The following is a 21,812-nucleotide window of genomic DNA, read 5'->3' on the forward strand; positions in this document are numbered from 1 at the left end:
GGAAACAACTATTTCCACTTATGCTTAATTGTCCAGAACCAGTAACTGATCATATCTAAGTGTAAAATAATCTGAAAAATGTGGTCTGCAACACCAGGCACCCAGCTAAAGTTTGGGGATTCTATTGATGATGAAGAAGGAATGTCTAATATTGGGAGATAACATTTGCCGCTGGTATAGGAAACAGAAGTTAAGAGTTGTCTTTGGAGTCAGATGGCTTCTCTTTAATTCTTGGCTCTACCACTTACAGGGTTGTAACTTAAGTCGAGTCTCCAACTTTCCATGTCTTCATTTCCTTATGTGTAAAGTGAGAATTGTAGAGTTGTCACAAGCATTTAATGTGAAGATATTTAGAACAGTTTCTGGCCATGTGCTGTTATTACCATTATCCCCATGATTTACTATAACCTACTATGCTATAGCTAGTATAGCCTCTGGAGTTTGTTTACAAATCTAGTTGTAGAACCTAGTATGATGCCTGGCACTTAATAGATGTGGACAGATGGATGAATGAATGAGGCAGACTGCATGAGTCTTAAATTGTGGAGCTTCTACTTTCTAGCTGATTTGCCTGGGCATTATTTAATCCCTTCCAGCCTTAGTTTTCCCTTTTTTAAAACAGAAATAAATTATACCAAGTGTTCTTCATTTGCACCTCCAGATCCACTCTCCACTCTTCTCACCCTGCTTTGTGCCAAGGAGGCTGACCTCTAGGGTTGGCTGCAATGAGCTCCTTGCCTTCTGGCTTTCCACTGGGTGGGCCCATGGGAGGCACTGGCAGGTGACCAGAGGTGGGAGGAGAGGGAGCTTGGACATTTATTTCTGTGATTTCCTCCCTGTAGGACCATGGTTTGGCAGTGGCTGGGTTTCTGTTATGAAAGATACAACTATCAGGTGGCCCTCACTACAGCTGTAGGTTGTTCTGAGTAGGTTGATACAACTATCAGGTGACCCTCACTAGAGCTGTAGGTTGTTCTGAGTTACAGTAACTGTTCTACCCTCAAGGTTCTCCACTATTGCTATCCTCAGTGTGCTTCAATAGTGTTGATTTTCTTAATGGTTCCCACACGTTTATAAAGAGATCCTTCATTAAATTCTCCTCAGTTCCCAATTTGATTGTTTTTCCCTTCTGAGACCATGATTAATATTAATACATAACACTCAGAGGGTTGCTTTGAGAAGGTGTTGAAATAATGCATTTAAAGTGCTTAGTACATTGTCTGGCACAGAATAAGCACTCATTCTGCTCCACTAATGCTATGATTATCTGTTTCCTTTTACTCCTCTATTTTATGTTTGGCAATATCTTTGTTTCATATGATTTTCAAAGAGTTGGTTGATTTGCTGAAATGTTTTACTGTTAAAAATCATCAGAGCATATCTAAGCTTAATTTTTACACTTGCTCTTAGCCAAAAGGCTGAGAAGCAATCTAAGCTTAATTTTTTGGTCAATCTTATACCTTCAAACAAAATGGTGGCTACTAATTTTTTCTCAAAAGATTTTTTTTGCTGTTAAAATAAATAAGACCCAATGTAGTGTCCCCTACCATCGACTTTGAAACCTGAACATCTAAGAAGAAGAGTAGTTGAGCTAAGGGTATATGGATCAAAGCTGGGAAATTTGGCTGGGAGGATAGTCATTCAGGAGGTTGAGGTCTTGGAGAGCAGTGCTCTGAGAAGCCAAGGATCTAGAGAGCCATGGAGTAGACCAGGAAACCAGCACCAGAGACTTAATCAAAATGGTTTTGACTAGGCTAGACTCCTGGTTATAGAAAAATCTTATTACTAAAGCAAAATGGACCCAAAGCATCTGACTATAACCATGATACTCTTGCAGTTGAAGGCTCTGGTTTTCTAAAGAGTGGTCTCTCTTTAAAAAACAACAACAACAACAACAGAAAGTCTAGTGGTATTAATGTGTTCTGAGGCTTCATGAATATCTTGGGGAATCTAGTCTTTCAGATAAAGTAATGGATTTTCTTGGTGATGAGTTCTGGTTCTTGGCTCTGAACCTCCAGCTTCATGATCTTCTAGAGTTTTGTATGGAGAAAATATTGAATCCCTTACATCCATTTTTGTTCCTTTGATCCCTGAGATGTTACCCTTGATGTTTCTGCAATTGGTTTGAGTACATCTTATAGTTTGAAGATTTTTCCACATCGCAATAATTGCTTAGTAATTAATTGAATTATGCTGTATGACCGAGAGTGAATAATAATGATGATGATGATGATATCTGAAGTCCTTGTGATTTACAAAGTGATTGCTACAAACATTTTCCTGCTTAGGGTATTTAAAATATACCAACCCTGAAAAGGATAAAGAAGGAAATAGAAAGTAGGTAGAGTTAGTATATTTAATTGAATGCAGTTCTTTCTGTTTCATAGAAACAACCAATTTGCTTTTTATTTCCCAACAGCATCCAGTAATTGCTATTTTTACATATTTATGATGAAATAATTGACAGCTATGATCTATTACTTATTTTTAATGTCAACTAGAGTCAACAATTAAAATCAGAATGTACTTCAATAAAAACATGTTTTAGTAACTGACCATTTGTAGTGAAAATTCATTTTTCTTATATGTGGCTTCTATGTTTCCAGATTTGGACATCAGAAACACATGAAAAGTTGTCACAAATGTGTTTAAACACAGAATGGGTTGAAATGAAGAGCAAGGCTTTATTGAATGAGGAAACAGTGAGCTCCGGGATTATCGAAAGGTATTCTTAATACTTTTCTTTACTTTATAGAATGTGGACATGCAGAAAGGACTTGTATAAGTAGCAAAAAGGTATAGTGACCCCAGTTCCACACTAAAGGAACATATCAAGCACATTTGTCTCAAGCTTCCATGCTTTCTGCTCATGCTGTTCTCTCTGTTTGGGAGTTTCTTTTCGTCAATTGTTTACCAATCAACTCTCTACTTATTCTGGGCCCAGCTAAAATGCCATTTCCTCTTTATATGTGTTTTTTTTTTTTTTTTTTCTGGCCCAAGGTTCTGACTATCCAGGTTTGAACCCCAGCTCTACAATTTACTGTAAAAGTTATTTGGTGTTTATAACCCAGCTTGTTCACCTGTAAAATGGGAATTACAAAAGCATCTACTTCGTAGGGTTGTTATGAAATTTAGACGAAATAAAGTATGAAGTGTGCATAGAAGTATTGACTGACATGCAATAAGAATTAGGTAAGCTGTCATTAATCAGAATTAATTGCTTTTTGATTTTTGTTCTCTGAGTATTTTATGTCCTACATGACAGTTGGACTTGCATTCTAGTTATTTATATGAAGGCATTTCCTCAGGAATAGAGAGTTCTTTGAGGATAGAAACTCTTTATTCATCATAGTTGTCATCCTGCATCCTGGCACAGTGCCTCCCCATCGAAGTGTATGACACATAGCCTTTGTCTTATACTGTAATTGTTGAAAAATGCAGTCAAAATAATGACAAAAATGCTAAAAATTCCATTGACTTGTTGAGACATTTTGTTTTACAAAGTTCATAAAAGTTGCAAACATGAAAACTCTTTAAAAAGTAATCATCATAAAAATCTAACCCTAAATTAGTTTTTGTTTTGTTTTGTTTTTTGACCTGGAGTCTTGCTCTGCTGCCCAGGCTGGAGGACAGTGGCGTGATCTTGGCTCACTGCAACCTCTGCCTCTCAGGTTCAAGCAATTCTCCTGCCTCAGCCTCCCGAGTAGCTAGGGCTACAGGCACATGCTGCCACGTCCGGCTAATTTTTTTTGTATTTTTAGTAGAGACTGGGTTTTACCATGTTGCCCAGGCTGGTCTTGAACTCCTGAGCGCAGGCAATCCTCCCGTCTCGGCCTCCCAAAGTTCTGGGATTACAGGCGTGAGCCACTGCGCCCAGCCCCTAAATTAGTTTTACATGGCTTTGAAAGTTTACACATTACACTCTAACAAGTTTTCTAAAAAAATGTTATCTTGTTTTAGGGTCACCGGATTGCCTGCCACAGGTTTTGGAGCTGTCTTTCCTAGACATCCACCGGATTGGAGCAAAATGTTAGTAGTCCCTAAACTGCTACAACTGTACAAAATGTTTCTTGATTCAGAAGGTTTGTTTGCAGGGGCAAAGGTATGACAGGGTGAGCCAAGGTCAACAAAATGCCCTTTACATGACATCTTCGACTTGCCTTTAACCAAATGTTTTCTCCTTTCACATGCACAACATTAATAACCGTAATAATAAAACAGTAAATCCTCACTATTTGCAGATCCTGTATTTGTAAATTTTTCTTCTCTGTAAAATTTACCTATTTGTATCCCACAAGTCAATACTCGTGGTTCTGTCATGGTCATTTGTGGACATATGCAGAATGGTAAAAAAGGGAAGGCACCAGATGTGTACAATCCCAACTGAGGTCGAACAGGGTGATGCCCTGCCTTCTTGGTTCAGCTCTCATTCCATAAACGTGTTCTTTTCACAGTCTATTCAGTGACACGTTTTTCTAACTCTTATGCTTTTTGTTGGTGATCTTGTTTAAGACATCCCTCAAGCATGGTGGTGAAGTGCTGCCGTGTTCCTTAGAGCAAGAAGGTTGTGATGTGCCTTTCAGAGAAAACACATGTGTTAGACAAGCTTGATTCAGGCATGAGTTGCAGTGTTGTTGGTCATAAATTCAAAGGTGATAAATCAAAAAATAAGATGTCTTTAAGCAGAAACAGACATAAAACAAAGTTTTATATTGATCGATTGGTGAAAATGTGACCAGAGGCTTGCAGGAACCTAACCCTATATTTCCACTAAGATCAATGGTTCAATATTTGCTAATTCAGAGTTTGCAGCAACTTCATAGAACATTACTGTGAACAAAGAGAACTGACTTTACAGCAAGAGACTATTTTTACTGATATAAGAGATAAGTTTGTTTTGGCAGGGAAGCATGAATTCTTACTACAAAAGAAAAAGGTCTTATTCACTCATCTTTCTAAACATAAACTTTCATTATGTACAGGTAAGTGATGTGGAAATACACTTATAAGCATGAACAAATTCTAAGGATTGCATTGTGCATTGTGGGGTTGTTGTGAAGATTAAGCAAGTTAATATATGTCAAACAATTAGAGCAGTAACTGATGCATACGTACTAAATTCTCTGCTGGACGTGGTGAACCTTTCAGTTTATAAACTCATATCAGTTCAGAGAAATTTTCTTGATTTATTTTATTCTTGACTTATTGTGTTTTCTCTGTTTTCTCTTTTGGAAATCCTTTGTTTGAATGTTGGATTTCTTGTCCTGATCCTAAAACTTTCCTGTCTTTTCTCACCTTTTCTTTTTTATCTTTACTATCTACTTTCCTCTCTGTTTCTTCAACTCTACCATTGAATTATCTTTTTGTTTTCTGGATCCTTTTGTTTTTATAGGATCTTTTTTTTTGGTTTCATGACTTCAGTATCTTCTCTTTTCTATCTGAAGATGTTAATGAAAGTTTTAATGATAGCTTTAAAATTTTTTTTCTTCCCCATGCATACTCTCTGTTTTCTCCAAGATGCCTTTTGTTTCTGTTCTTTATTTGTTTGTATGGTATCCATCTTCCACGCTAGAGACATTTTCCTCAAGCACCTGCTAATCAATCCTCTGCTCATGATTAAGAGATGGGGCTCCGAGCCTGTGAGTGAGGCTTACTGCCTTGGAGATTCCCTGGAGGAATCTAGGTGGGTCATTATTTCAAAGAAGCCCTAGTACCAGTACAGTCATGCATCGCATAATGTCGGGGATATGTTCCGAGAAATGTGTTGTTAGGTGATTTCATGGTTGTGTGAACATCATAGAGTGTACTTACACAAACCAGATGGTCTAGCCTACTACACACTGAGGCTAGATGGTAAAATCCATTGCTCCTAGACTATCAACCTGTACAGCATGTTACTGTACTGAACAGTGTAGGCAATTATAACACAGTGTTAAGTATTTATGTATCTAAACATATCTAAACATAAAAAAGTACAGTAAAAATACAGAATGAAAGATAAAAAATGGTACACCTGTATAGGGCACATGCCATGCATGTACCCTGCAAGACTGGAAGTTGCTCTGGGTGAGTCCATGAGTGAGCAGAGAGTCTATGAATGTGAAGGCCTAGGACATTACTAAATACTACTGTAGACTTTATAAACGCTGTATACTTAGGCTACACTAAATTTATAAAACAATTTCATTTGTCCATTTTGCATTGCTATAAAGGAATACCTGAGACTGGGTAATTTATAAAGAAAAGAGGTTTATTTGGCTCACAGTTCTGCAGGCTGTGCAAGCATGGCATCATCATCTGCTTGGCTTCTGGTGAGGCCTCAGGAAGCTTTTACTCATGGCAGAAGGTGAAGGGGAGGCAGGAATGTCACATGGCAACAGTGGGAGCAAGAGAGAGGGGAGGAGGTGCCAGGGTCTTTTTAACTACCAGATCTCATGTGAACTCTCCTTACTGCAAGGAGGGCACCAAGCCACTCATGAGGTATCCACCCCCATGACCCAAACACCTCTCATCGGACCCCACCTCCAACATTGGGGATCACATTTCAGTATGAGATTTGGGTAGGTCAAACATCAAAAATACATCAGCAATATTGGCCTTTCTTCAAAAAGAAATTTACCTTAGCTTGTGGCACCTTTTTTACTTTATACCTTTTCTTTTTTTTTTTTTTTAACTTTTGGACCCTTTTAGCAACACTTAGCTTAAAACGCAAACACATTGTATAGCTGTATAAAATATTTTCTTTCTTTATATCCCTATTCTGTAAGCTTTTTATTATTAAACAATTTTTTTTACTTTTAAAACTTTTTTCTTAAAAACAAAGACACAAACACACACCTTAGCCTAGGCCTACACAGGGTCCGGATCATCAATATCACTGTCTTCCACCTCCACATCTTGAGCTTCTGATAGGCCTTCAGGGGCAGTAACATGCATGGAGTTGTCATCTCCTGTGATAACAATGCCTTCTTCTGGATACCTCCTGTAGGACCTGCCTGAGGCTGTTTTACAGTTCACATTTTTTTAAATAAGTAGAAGAAATATGCTCTAAAACTGTGATAAAAAGCGTAGTACAGTAAGTGCATAAACCAGTAACAGTTGTTTATTATTGTTATCAAGTATCATTATATACTGTACATAATTGTATATGCTCCACTTTTATATAGCTGCCAGCACAGTAGTCTTGTTGACACTAGCATCACCACAAATATGTAAGTAATGCATTGTGCTATGATATTACAAAGGCAACAATGTCAATAGAAATTTTTCAGTTCCATTATAATCGTATGGAGTCTTCATAGTACATACTGTACAGCCTGTTGTTGACTGAAAGAGCATTATTTGGCATGACTCTATTTTAGCCTCTCCTTTTGGGCTGGTCATATTTCCAGATAAGCCTCTTCAATCTCCCTTCTGCAGGGTGAAGAGTGGGCTGATGCCTGTGTTCTTAGAGTGAGCAAGCAATTGGACTGGGACATCAGTATGAATACTGCATTATGTATGGTCACTGAATTGAATTGTGTTTTTGATTAAGGACTCTCTTACCCTACAGATGAATAAATTTCTAGCTTTCTGCTAAGGGAGGGGAGGGGCAGTTACCTGGCAGTTGGGGAAGAGCTTTGGAGCAACACCTGTTTTTCAGATAGCTCTCCCCACAGGCCTTTGCTGACTTAGGATTCATTCAGCTTTCTGCTACGTCAGGCACCACATGTCAGTCTTCTCTTCAGTTCCCAAAATTTGTTTCTCTTGTCCTTTCTCCTGTTCTCCATATTCTTATGAGTCAAAAAAAAAAAAAAAAAAAAAAACACAACATTTTCTTAAGTCTCTTTACTGTGGTTTTAGTGGAGCTTTTTGAAGAAGCAAGATTCGATGTTCATCTTAACTCTGATGTTATCAGAGTTATCAGAGACTTGATGTTATCAAGTCTCACCTGATCTGCAACCTCCTCTAGAGGACCTTCCCATACCTACTGCCACTCCACTCCCCATAACTTGGTTAGGTCCCTCACTGTGGGTGCCCATAGCACTGTGTGCTTCTTTTATGCAAACACTATTAATATTTGTTGCAATTGTTTGCATTCTTCTCGTTCTTGCTAAATTCAATGCTCTGAAGGGAAAGACTATCACAATTCTGTCCCCAGTGCCTAAAGAGAGCCTAACCTGCAGCAAATACACCACAATTATCTCCTGAGTTAATAGATTAATTATTTCTGATGTTGAACAGCAAATTATAATAGAAGAGGATTTGGCTAATTTCTATCTTATTTGATTTAGGGGTTCAAGGCCTTTAGAGCCAAAAGTTGTTCTCAATTCTTTTTGGTAAATGCATTTGAAGACATAGTTTCTTTTAGAAAATCAGCCCTTATTAGTTTGAATTGCTAGAATTACTCATTTGTTTTATTTGATTCATGAGTATTAACAAGGAAATAAATACATGAACACCTTCAACCGGCCCCTACTAATTCCATATGTAATTCTTTCTTTCAGTTAATATACACTAATTATAGAATGTTTCATACAGTACAATGCTGTGGTGTTTTAGAATCTGCTCTCCTGAATATTAAATAATATTTTGCTTCTTGCCAACTCTACAGCTCTGAAAGTTAAATGTCAACTTTAAAAGGCAATGAATAAGAATGAATTTGCTCAGTGGACCAAAATATGCTTCAAGTTATAAAAGAAAGACTGTAATCATAAGGTGAATTTAAGGTTTAGGTTACCTGTTAAGGGAGAAAAATCAGGATAAGGTATAGTTTTGTTATTAAGGAGACATTAGGTTGATGGACTTACTTTAATTTTTAGATAATGTCCGTTACACAGAAACGGCATTTGACTGACTCTCTTTCTCATAACTCAACCTGTATCCCACTGACTTTATTTTGGACCAATGTGAAGAAGACATAACACCTTTCCTCCATAAGTGGGTAGCAAACATCTCAATGAAACTAATTGAAAATCAGAACAGCTAGAATGTTTGACACCACCAGAACTTGTCACTCCTGACCTTAACTAAAGAAAAGCGCTCTGTGAATAATTCCTTCCATGTGCATCACAGATGGAGGAGATAGAGAAAAATAAATTGAAGTATAGGGAACAGTTAAGATGACACTATAGTGATATCAAAGACTTAAACTTTAAAAATGAAATTTATAGACTTTGAGTCCCGATTGAGCTTGTCTAGAACCAAAGCTATTGTTTTCCTTGAGAGTTGGTCTCAGTCCCATGAGTGAGTCTCCAAGGAATTGACAGTGGCCTGTGATGGGCAGAGTGAGAGTCAAGAAGGCTCAAAGACCTCTCAGGCATCAAAAATGCCCATTTGGTCTCAAACTGTTAATAATACAGATGCACGTGTAGGGAGTCTCTAACATGGATAACTTATGTTATATGGGTAGAGACAGTAGAGGAATAGAAAAGTAACGAGAGGCACATTTCCTTTATGGCATATAGGAAAAGTAGATGGGAACATGAATATAGTTAGTAAGTCAATTTAAGAGTTTTTATTTGCCTTCCTACCTGATTCTCAAGCATTCTCAAGTAACTTTTACTTAATTTGAAAGTACTCTTTATGAGGCATGGAAAATAAATTCACTAATTATCAAAAGGCCCCAGTATATCTGATTATTTAATACAAAATCATTTTATGATTTGTCCATAGAACCAGATGATTGTAGCTAATTCATTCTAGGAAGTAAGGTTTTCCATGTACAAATCTCTGGGCTGTGTCTACGACCATTAAACAAGCGATCAGAAACCAAACCAGTAAAATAAACAACAACCAGAACTGTATCAAGCAGATCCAATTTTGAAAGGGAGATGTAGTAATAGATATAATTTTATGTTAAGATCTTATTTCTCAGAAGCCCTCATTTAAATATACACATAGAGTTCCTTCTCTATTCCCACCGTTTCACTTGACTTCACTTTTTTTTCTCTTTAAAAAAAGGAAGGAAAAAAATATATACACATATAAACATGTGTGGTCCCAGGATAATGGTCCACAGGAGAAGTCAGGTTTTTTTGATAGGGAAAAATCAGTTCAGGCAGGGTATTTGCTGTGTGAGAAGCAGGTCCATGGGGCCCTGAGTTTGAGGGCTCCCCAGGAGTACTGAGTTCCCACTGGAGGATGGAGAAGCACCCGAGGTAGACCTCACACAAGGTCAGCCCTCACTACTGCACCTTGTCGTTTTTACCAAATTTGATTGCCTCCTGGTGGTAGTGATTAGCGTGTATTGTTGAAATTTCATAATAAATGACTCGTTTCAACAATTCATCCAAACATTTATGTAATCCACATAATGGGAGAAGAAAAAAATTAATAGTGTTTGGGATCACTAAGTAGCTTTTGGAAATTGTGTGTGTGTGTGTATGTGCATGTGTGTATACGTGTGTGTGTGTGTGGGTGTTTGCTTTTTTCAGAAAGAACATGGTATAGAAAAATAGGATAGGAAACCTGGGTTCTACTTCTAGGCCTGCAATAAACCTGCTACGTGACTGTGTGCTGCCTAATAGCCCTCTCTGGACTCCAGTTGTTTCCATTTGGAAAATGAGGGGATTGAACCAAATGATCTGTAAAGTCCTTTCCCACTCTAAAATTTTATGGCTCTAGGAGAAAGGCATCTATAGTTGCATAAATGGGCAAGTTAAATGAGGCCCAAAAGTAGTTCAGGCAGTTAAGTGTTCATTGTTGGGATGGAGCACTTATCCTTATGTGTGTGGAGTGGTCTTCATAGTAGCAGTAGCAAGCCTGGGCTGCAGTTTAAATTCTTCCCTTTTATTCCTCTCTCTGAGACATTAGCATCTATAAAACCTTTGGTACTCTTCAGAGGAAAGGGACTACATGTAAATAGTAAGAAGGATTTTTCTTTTCTCAAAGTACAGTACAGGACATTTATTTTGTTTTCTACTTATGCATTTGTGCTATGGCTTGCTTCCTGGTAAAATATTACCCAGTTGTTGAACATTTCTCCAGAAGAAAAAAAGCTTCAAAAGTTACCCTATGGTGATGATGATATGGTAGGCTTTGTGTCCCCACCCAAATCTCATCTTGAATTATAATCCCCATAATCCCCATAATCCCCACATGTCAAGGCAAAGACTGGGTGGAGATAACTGGATCATGGGGGCAATTTCCTCCATGCTGTTCTCTTGATAGTGAGTGACTTCTCACCAGATCTGATGGTTTTATAAGGGCCTTTTCCCCCTTTGCTCACTCTTCTCTCTCCTGCTGCCCTCTAAAGAGGTGCCTTCCACCATCATTGTAAGTTTCCTGAGGTCTCCCCAGCCATGCCGAACTGTGAGTCAATTAAACCTCTTTTCTTTATAAATTACCCATTCTCGGACAGTTCTTTATAGCACTGTGAGAATGAACTAATACAGATGAGGAGGAGGATAAAAACAAAAATATGCAAAGAGGAAAGTGGGGTGATGAAAGGCCATGAGAGTGAGACAGGCTTGAATTCAGTTCTTGATTCTCCATCTTATTCATTGTAGGAGCTTTCATTTTTGTCTGGCCAGCTTTCTTCTTTTGGACAACATCCTCTCACCTATTCAGTGTAATTTGACTAGGCCATATTATGGATGGCTGACTCTGTTCCCCATTTCTACCTCCCCACAAGCCTAAGTGTTGGGCACAAGATCCAGACCAGGCTATTCAGAGGATAGTTATTGGAGTTCTAGGGAAGATGCCCTGTCCTGCTCCAGTTTGCAAGTTATAGAGGACATCCTCCTTCTGTGGGAGTATCTATGTATAAATGAAGTTAAGCAGAGATATGGGAAAAGACAGTTCTGATGACATTCTTCTTATACAAGCTGATATTTTCCTTTAAATTTTATCTATTAAGTTTGAGTTGGGTTTCTATAACTTATACTAATAAAAGCAAACATCATGTAAGTACATGATGCTTATTATGTACCAGGCACTATTCTAAGTGTTTTATATATGTTAACTCAGTACTCCCTACAAAAACTCTATGAATTGGTTTCATCATTATCTGAATTCTGTGATGGGAAATACAGAAGCACAGAGAAGTAAATAACATGTCCAAACTCTCACAGCTGGCCAGAGATAATGGCCAGGATTTGAGCTGAGATAGTTTAATACCAAAGCTCATAGCCACTCCTCTATGCTGCTTCTCTCAATAATAGGCCAACTAAGAGACCTCTGGCACATACTTAAGTTTCCTGAACATCACTTGTCTTTGTAAACATGGAGAGAATAATGGCTATATTTAGTCAGGCCAGGCCTTAAGCATTGGATTAGTCAGTATTCTCCGAGAAACAGAACCAATATGATATGTATGAGGAGATTTATCATGTGCTTACATGGTTATGGAAGCTGAGAAGTCCTACCATCTGCCTTCTGTAAGCTGGAGGGCTGAGAAAGCCAGTGGTGCAATTCACTTAGAGTCTGAAGGCTGGAGGGCCAGGGAAGATGATGGTGTAACTCCTGGTTCAATTCTGAAAGCCTGAGAACTAGTGGGCCTGCTGGTGTAAATCCCAGAGTTCAAATGCCAGATAACTAGGAGCTCAGATGTCCAAGGTCAAGAGAAAATGGATGTCCTAGCTCAAGAAGAGAGAAAATGTACCTTTCCTCTTTTTGTTCTGTTCAGGCCCTTCATGAATTGGATGATGCCTACCTACACTGGTGAGGGTAAATCTTCTTTACTCAGTCCACTGATTCAAAAGCTACTCTATTTTGGATTAGCAAAAGAGATGGACAGATACAGACAGAATCTGGGCTATCTGGGCATTCTTTGGCCCAGTTATGTTGACACATAAAATTAGCCATGACAAGCACTAAGCTTATAAAGGAAATACTGGTGAAAAGTTATTTATCCATTTTGAAATTTCTCAAATCAAATGTTCCATTTCTTAAACTACCCGGGCTCCTGGTTCCTTAGACATGCCTAGGTCCCGGCTTGACATTTTTGCCCTGTGAGGCAAGAGTGCTACCTGAGTGCATATCACCAACTTGAATTTCCTGGAATGGATAGCTTGGCTGGTACTGAGTGGTGACGGCTTACTAGTTGGCAAGTTTGCTGAATTAATTGCGGAGTCAACCTAAATGCAATTTTTCTTTGCATTATCCTTGCATATAGGATATCTCTCCTTAGCTGATGTATGTTGAAGCCAAATGACCGAGGAGGTGGGATATCTGGTGTTAGTATTTGGGGTTGTGACTCAGGTCCTAATGAGTTTGGTTTGGAACTTGGATTGTGTGCCTTGGCAAAGGATATTTTAATGGCGGGTAACAATAACCTATTCTATCGCTATCCTTGCATTGTAATTCAAATAATTTGATAAGAAAATATATGTGAAAGCACATGATATAGTGCCCGTTAGATCTGAAGTTTTGGCATCCTGATGGGCTGATGGCTGACTCAGACCATTCTTTGTTTCCTGTAAGTCTTTATTGAGTCTAACTTTATTACAGTAGCCATTCAAGTTATATCTGCCAAGTGGAAAGTCAGGTTTCTCTGTAGTTTTGGGTGTGCTCAGTGAGGCCCTAAAACTAGCATTATGAAGATAGGCTTATATGGTTTATCTTGTGGCCACTAGTTTGCAGAGATGGCTGCAGCACTTTTTTCCCTCCCTGAACATGCATGCTGCTGCTCCCAGCAAGAGGCTGAGGTTATTTGCCTGCCCTCTGCAGCTGGGCTGGCCTTATGACTGGTTTTGATTAATAGAATGTGGCAGAAATGATATCCTGGGACTTCTGATTACAGACATTAAGAAAAATAGTAGTTTCTACTTTCTGATTCTCAGATCCTAGCTGATATGCTGTGAGAAGCCCAAGACACATGGAGAAGCCACATGGAGGAGAATCAAGGCTTGTGTTTGACAGCTCCAGTGAAGCTCTCAGACAATAGTCAAAACAAACTGGAGCCATGTGAATGAGCTGTCTTGGATCATCCAGCCCAGTCAAACCTTTGGACAACTGTAGCTCTAACTAACATCACATGGAACAGATAAACCACCCGGCTGAGCTAATCATTCCACAGAATAATCAGAGATAATAAAATAGTTGTTATTTTAAGTTACTTTCAAGCCATAACAATAGGTAATTGAAACAACCTTCATATCTCTTAATACCATGCTTATATGGCCATTTCTTCTGATATTAAGCCTATAGGTATAGTTTTTGCCATTTCTAATCGATCAGAGATGCAAGCAGTTCAAATTGTGGGGACTGATGAGCTAATAAAACAATGTGCACAATAATCAACTCAAAATGGATTAAAGATTTAAGTGCAAGACCTGAAACCATAAAACTCCTAGAATAAAACATAGAGGAAAACCTTCTTGACATTGGTCTTGGAAATGAAATGATTTTTTTGGACAGACATCAAAGGTACAGGCAGCAAAAGCAAAAAATAAACAAACAAAAATGAGACTACATCAAACAAAAAAAAGCTTCTTCACTGCAAAAGAAACAAAAATGAGGCTGGGTGTCATGGCCCCAGCACTTTGGGAGGCCAAGGGCAGTGAATCACTTGAGGCCAAGAGTATGAGATCAGCCTGGCCAACATGGTGAAACCCCGTCTCTATTAAAAATACAAAAATTAGCTGGGCATGGTGGCACATGCCTGTAATCCCAGCTACTCGGGAGGCTGAGGCAGGAGAATAGCTTGGAGCTGGGAGGCAGAGGTTGCAGTGAGCTGAGATCATGCCATTGCACTCCAGCCTGAGTGACAGAGTGAGTGAGACTCTGTCTCCAAAAAAAAAAAAAAACCAAAAACAAAAACAAAAAGAAACAAAAATGAAAAGGCAGCCTATGGATGAGGAGAAAATATTTGTAAGCATATATCTGAAAAGAGCTTAATATCCAAAATTTACAAGGAACTCATACAACTTATTAGAAAAAAAAAAAAAGCCTGATAAAATGAGCCAAGGACTTAAATAGGCATTTTTCCAAAGAAGACATACAAATGGCCAACAGGTATTTAAAAAGGTGCTCAACATCACTAATTACCAGGCAAATATAAATCATAACTCAAATGAGATATCACCTCATGCCTGTTGGGATGACTTTATCAAAAAGACAAAAGATAAGCGTTGGCAAGCATGTGGAGAAACTAGAACCCTTGAACACTGTTGGTGGGTGTGTAAAATGGTACAGACATTATGGAAAAAAGTATAGAAGTTCCTTAAAAATAAAAAATAGAACTACAATATGATTTATAAGTCACACTTCCAGGTACACATCCAAATGAAATGGAACCAGTATCTTGTAGAGATACCTGTACCCTCATCTTCATTGCAGCATTATTCACAATCGCCAAGATACAGACTCAACCTAAGTGTCCGTTGATGGATATTATTTCACCTTAAAAAAGAAGAAAATCCTGCAATTTGTGACAACATAGATAAACCTAGAGGATATGATGCTAAGTGAAATACAGACACAGAAAGAAAAGTACTGCATAATCTCACTTCTACGTGGAATCTAAAACATTGAATTTATAGAAGCTGAGAGTAGAATGGTGGTTGTCAGGACCTGAGGGGTGGGAGAAATAGAGAGATGCTGGTCAAAGGGTACAAAGTTTCAGTCATGCAAGATGAATAAGCGCTAGAGATCTAATGTACAGCATGAGGATTATAGTTGACTATAATGTGTCACATACTTGAAATTTGATAAGAAAGTAGGTCTGAATTGTTCTTATCGCAAAAAAGGTAACTGTGAGGAGATGGATATGTTAATTAGCTTGACTGTAGTAAAATCAGTTTAATATGTAAATATATATCAAAACATTATGTCATGCGCTTTAAAGATGTACAGTTTTGATTCAAAATAATAAAAAAAAACCCCAAATTGAGTGGCAAAGATTTTTTAAATATCAGGGCTGTGGAATTTATATTTAAGCCTGACATTTCCTTTAATCCCATGTATATTAATAAAGAGCCAGTATAATTAGTATTACTCTTCATAATATTTAAAGTTTATGTAGTTGTCATAGAAAATCATTAGTTATAATTACTTAAAATGAAGTCTTCAGTTGATCTCAGTGAATAGTAATGTACTATGTATCTTTGAGTTACAGAGGTGGCTTCACAGGAATAAGAAATTTCCAGAATTTCAGAAGTCTTTGCTGCTATCTGTATTTAATTTGATTCTGTATTTGACAGTTATGGAGTTAAATTATTACCCAAACATATAAATCTTATATTGTCCTTTCAAATGGCTTTTAAAAACTATTAGGTCTGAGGAAATTACATTTGTCCCACATATCTGAGTTAATTCTTTCAATAGAACCATTTAATGACTGCATACTATTTACTAAGAAGAGTTAGGCACCGGGAATATAGAAAAAAAAGACATCAGCTCATTTGTCTAATGTATGAGACAGAAAAACAACCAATTAATACTTGTGTATCAGCCAAGGAATATGCTTGGCTGAAAGTAACAGGAAACCTAACTAATAGCAGCTTGAATAACTAAGACATTTATTTGGTCACCTGGCATGAAATATAAAGGCAAGGAGTCCAAAACTGGCATGGCACCTAAACAATGTCGTCAAGAATTTGGATCTTTTTGTGTTTCTTCTTTACAAGTCTTATTAACTAGCTTTCATCCTTGCGATCTCAAGATGGTTGCTATACCTCCAATCCCCATTCTGTTCCACAAAGAAAGAAGCGAAAAAGTAAAGAGGTAAAGGGAAGCCCTCCCCAGGATCTTCATCCTACATCTATTTTATGGACTGTGGCATGGCCACCCATGGCTACATGATTGTTTTCAGCTTCTAAGTAGAGAAAGACAAGGGAGAAGGGAATTTGGAATAAGTGTTGATTGGGCCAAACTACATGCCACAACACATTAGGGGTAAACAGGATGCAAGGGAGCACTGAATTCAGATTTGGGAGGTCAGGAAAGGCTTCTGGGTAGAAGCGACATCTGAGCTGAGTCATGAAGTCTGAGTTGGAGTCAGCCAGATCAACAGGAGAGAAGGGCACCCTAGGCAGAGGATGAAGGATGTACAAAAAAGGCAGGGAGGCTGGGCGCAGTGGCTCACACCTGTAATTCCAGCAGTTTGGGAGGCTGAGGCGGGAGGATCACCTGAGGCCAGGAGTTCGAGACCAGCCTGGCCAACATGGTGAAACCCTGTCTTTACTAAAAATACAAAAGTTAGCCAGCATGGTGGCACACACCTGTAATCCCAGCTACTTGGGAGGCTGAGGCATGAGAATCGCTTGAACCAGGGAGGTGGAGGTTGCAGTGAGCTGAGATCGCCACACTGCATTCCAGCCTGGGGGACAGAGGGAGACTCTGTCTCAAATAAAAATAAAATAATAATAATAAACAAAGGCAGGGAGGAGCAGGACCTATGGGAGGCATGCATGGTTCATCAAGCAAGAATTTGCAGTGATGACAGCTAAAGTTGGAGAGAAATATTGGGGCTAAGAAAGCAGGGCCTGAAAGCCATGCTGAGTTTGGACTTTATCATGTAGATGGTATGAAAGGTTTTTGAGCATACGGTAGGAATAATCAGATTTGTGTTTAGAAAACAGAGAACAGATTGGTAGGCAACTGAGATTGCAATCTTGAACGTATCAAGGCAAGATGTAATAAGGGCCTGACCTTAAGTGATGGTGATGTGGAGGGGGAGAAGGGTGCAGATTTTAGATCTAGTAAAAAAAAAAAAAAGAGGCATTGACATCTACTTGAAGATTGATTAATTACGGGGGTAAAGCAGACTTGAGATTGATTCCTAGGCTTCTGGCTTAGGCAATTGGAGGGTGATGGGGCCATTCACTGAGGCAGTGAAGTCAGGAGGAAGAGCCAACATCAGATAAGCATGTGGATATTTGAGACTGGAGCACAAGAGAGATTACTGATCTGTCCCAACTGCAAACATAGGTATCCTAGCTGGCTCCTCTGCCTTATCTTTCCCTTTCACTCCATTCTCCAACCTGCAGCTTGAATAATTTATTTAAAACACAAAGATAACCAACCCCTCCCACTGTTTAATATCATTACAGTATAGTTTTCTCTTCTACCTTAATGAGCATTTACTATGTGTCTGGCACTGAGATAAGGGCTTTACATGCCATATTTTATTTAATGCTCATTCTTTAAGATAGATACTGCAACAATCCTCGTTAGAAAGGACTCAGAGGGGTAAAGTGACTTTCCAAAAGTTTTTCATCCAGTAAGCACTAGAGCTGGGCTTTAAACTCCTATCTGGTCTGTCTGACTGCAGAGCCTGTGTCATTAACTTTTAATGGGAAAATCTGCAGTTACTTTTGCACCAACCTAAATACTACATTGCATCATCTTTGATGCTTAAATGTGTATAGTGCTCTATATCTTTCAGAGTACTTTCACACACATTATCCGTTATTCCATTCTGCTTAACAATCACTCAAGGTCATTTGGGTGAGTATTAATTGTATAAAGGAGAAAATCAAAGCACAAAAATAACCAAAGAATTCAATTCCTCATTAAGTAATTAATCCATTTATTCTATAAATATTTATGAGGCTGATACTAATGGGAGGAGTTTAAATGCAGAGTGGTTAAGAGACTTTCTCAAGGCTCCATGACTGCTTAGTTGCAAAGCAGAAACTGGAAGCTTTGGGTCACAGTTCCGTGTTCTTGTGGGAGGGGAGAACATCTTGCAAAGCTGCTAGGGTTCTTAACAAGTGCTGGGCTTGGATCAGGATTAAAATCTGATTCAAATTGTCCTTCATTTCATCTTTCCTCTCCACCTCTTACCCACTAGCTTCTTAGAAATTGATCTCTAAAAAATAGGCCTGGGGGCTGGGCACAGTGGCTCATACCTGTGGTCCCAGCATGTTGAGAGGTTGAGGTGGGAGGATCAATTGAGCCTAGAAGTTCAAGTCTGCAGTGAGCTTGAATCACCTGTTCTGTGAAAGGGCTGTATATACAAAGCGACCCCCCAAATGCAGAAGAAATAAGAAACCAAAGAAAGAGGCAGACAAATCTGGGTCATAGGTTTCGGGTAGTTTAAGGGGAACTTAAAAGCAGGGAGACTTACAGAAGAATGGTCTTGGGAGGCTACAATACAGGTAGATCTCCACATCACAAATCCCCAGACCCAGGGCTTAAATCTTGGGGAAAGTATCCCTGCTCTGGAAGGAATGTGTAGGTGGCTATGGGTGTCAAAGCCTATGATTTCCAGAACAACAAGGGTCGTTTTGGAGGAAACTTACAATCAGTAGGTCTTCCTACATAAAGAGTAATATATCAGTCAGAAATTTGGGAGGCATTCTTGAACTTGGGGTTAGTTAGAAGTTACATGGTGGATTGACATTTAAAATAAAGTCACTCTTCTCTCCATGTTGCCACTGCACTCTAGCTAGGGTGACGGAGTGAGATCCTGTCTCCAATAAATAAGATAAAAAAATAAGCCTGGCATTCAGCAGCTGTGGATTTGTTCTGTGGCTAATTCAGCAGGTAGAAGTAGGAGGAAATGACCGGCATGTCTGTATCAGCTCAACCTAAGTTTTTTTGTTTGTTTGTTTGTTTGTTTGTTTTTGTGAATGATGGTTGCTGTTAAGAATGAGACAGAGTTTTCCAGAGTGGTTGTAGATTGCGGCCTCACCTGCACAATGCACCCCGTCACCTCAACACAGGGTCAGGTAGATTCCGTGACCCGCTGTGGCTATATTTATCTTAAGTAATGAATACTGCTTCTACTGCTGCCAGTGACAAGATTAACTCCAAATTAGTTCTCTGCTTCTTTAAGTCACGTACTCACATTCAGACTCCTAGATGACCCGTCTGATTTGGTGAATACATGTCACATGCCCTTGTTCTGGCTGCCAGGAAGCTGGGTGATAAAATATCTGCCCCCCATCTAGACAAAACAGAAAAGAAACAGTTGATCTTTAAGGTTTCTTTGAGCCTAAGAAGCTGTGATTCTGTGGGCTTGGGTACATCATCTTGTCATCCAGTCACATATGTTACCACTGGTGTTAGGGCAGCTGTAGACGTTTTAACTCATACCATGAATTTTATGATAACTCCATTATCAGACACCTTTTCCTTTCTTATCTTACGAAACATCTTTCATTGTACTCTGCCTTATAAAGTATATAATAACTACAACTGTTAAAGACAAAAGAGGGCACGTGTAGCAAATTGTGGGTGGTGCAGGGTGAAAGCCAGCCACCTAAATTCCCGGCATCCTTACAGTGTGGCATATCCTAGTGAATTTACTGGTTTCTGGTTTTACATTTCCAGAAAGCCTGTTTTTATCAGTACTTCAGAATTTATCTGACACATGGAGATCAACTCGTGCTCATTAAATCACGATAAACACCAGAATTCTAAGTAGTTAATTTATAATGAGAAATAAAAATTTCAAGCACACCAGACGGTCATGTCAGCCTAATAAAAGGCATTCTCTCTCTGTGAAAAACCATACGGGAAGCCAAACAATCATCAGAATGTTGTTCACTCTTTGGAATCAGAGCAAGGGGAGTTGGTTACGTGATTACAATGATTAATGGCCTTAGACTTTGGTGGCCTGATTGTAATAGGATTCTTTCGGTTGTAAGGAACAAAAACACAATTAAAATTTTCTTGGGCAAAAAGGACAGTTTATTAAAAGAGTACTGGAGTGCCTCATGGAACTTTGGGAAAGTCCTTGGAAGAGCCTGACTTCAGAGATGACTGGACTCAGGACTAAAAAAAACCTGGGATTCTCTTCCTGTTGGCTTTATTCCCTCCCGCTGAGGACCAACTTCTTCCACCGGCTGGAGGATATTACATCTCTCAGTTACTGTCACGGGAGAGTGAGTGCCCCTTTTCCAGTAGTTTCTATTAAGAAAAGGAAATCCCAAAGAGGGCCCTGATCAGACTGGTATTTGGACCTAAGAGCCACGAGTAGGGATGGGAGCTGTAAAGCAGAGCCACCTGGCACAGGCTTGTTCCTGCTGGTTCCAGATAATGACTTAAATCACTGTTGGCTGTCAGTAAGTCCGGGTTGGTGGATTGACATTGATGTAGTCCAGCTCTGCTTCCAGAACCAGGGGGATCTGTTTGTAAACCAGGATACCTCTTCCCCAAGACAATGCCTAGAAATAATGCCTCTGTTGTTTTTCTGACCTCTTGCTTCCTGGAGTTTCTCTGAAGGGCATTTCTCTTAATGGACTTGTTCTTTTTGCTACAGCTAATATCTAGAGGAATATCCATGTTGATTTCCCATATTTTTATTCTCAAAAGACCACCTTATTTCAAATTTGGGGAGCACATAATGTACTCTCTATCACTTAAAAATTGATTGTTGCCCTGTTTTTTGGATTTTTTTTTTAAGGGGGTGAGGGAAGGAGAAGGCAATCACAAAGAGTTGGTGAGTAATTGGCTGAAAGTCATCATTCAATATTATAAAAGTTTCCATTTTGTTCCACAATGCCTTTTTAGAAAGATAACTGAATGTTTTAATCTTTCACCTGTATTTACTTTGCATACTCAGTGTAGTTAATCTATATCTCTTTATATTCTAATTTTATTTTTATTGATTTAAATATTCAATGAATGTTTCTCATTGCCTACTTTGTATCAGACTCTGTGCTGGGAGGTGATAATAAGGAGAGGCAAAAGGGCTCAATTAGGAGGGATAGGTTTCTATCTGCTTTACACGAGTGGAGAGATACCCAAAAGCTGACCTGCAGGACAGTTCTACCCAAAGCAACTCTCCAGTGTTCTGCTGGGGTTCCTGATAAGCATATCATTTGAGTCATAACTTTGAGTAGGAAGAGGGTAGGGAAGCAAGTTCACTGTTGTCTATTAACACAAACATATTTTAAGATTATGGAATATTTTCATTATCTAAAATACTCTTCAAACAT

At 38.8% G+C, this 21,812-nt stretch overlaps 1 protein-coding gene across 11 annotated transcripts in view; it reads left to right on the forward strand.

The window, feature by feature from the left end:
- Nucleotides 1–21,812, forward strand: part of CFAP95 (cilia and flagella associated protein 95) — an 85,411-nt gene that overhangs the window by 33,132 nt on the left and 30,467 nt on the right. For 10 of the 11 annotated variants that reach the window (NR_131756.2, XM_011518230.3, XM_011518229.3 and 7 more), the window contains 2 exons: nucleotides 2,607–2,725; nucleotides 3,961–4,029. Coding sequence is in view for 9 of the 11 variants with exons in the window: in XM_011518230.3 (XP_011516532.1) it covers nucleotides 2,607–2,725; nucleotides 3,961–4,029 (188 nt within the window). In the remaining 2 variants the exon portion in view is untranslated. Of the gene's footprint in view, nucleotides 1–2,606; nucleotides 2,726–3,960; nucleotides 4,232–21,812 lie in introns of those variants that run through there. The other variant, NR_131757.2, reaches the window with a different exon arrangement.

This window comes from Homo sapiens, chromosome 9, assembly GCF_000001405.40.
Source record: "Homo sapiens chromosome 9, GRCh38.p14 Primary Assembly".
In the NCBI taxonomy this organism is placed as follows: domain Eukaryota; kingdom Metazoa; phylum Chordata; class Mammalia; order Primates; family Hominidae; genus Homo; species Homo sapiens.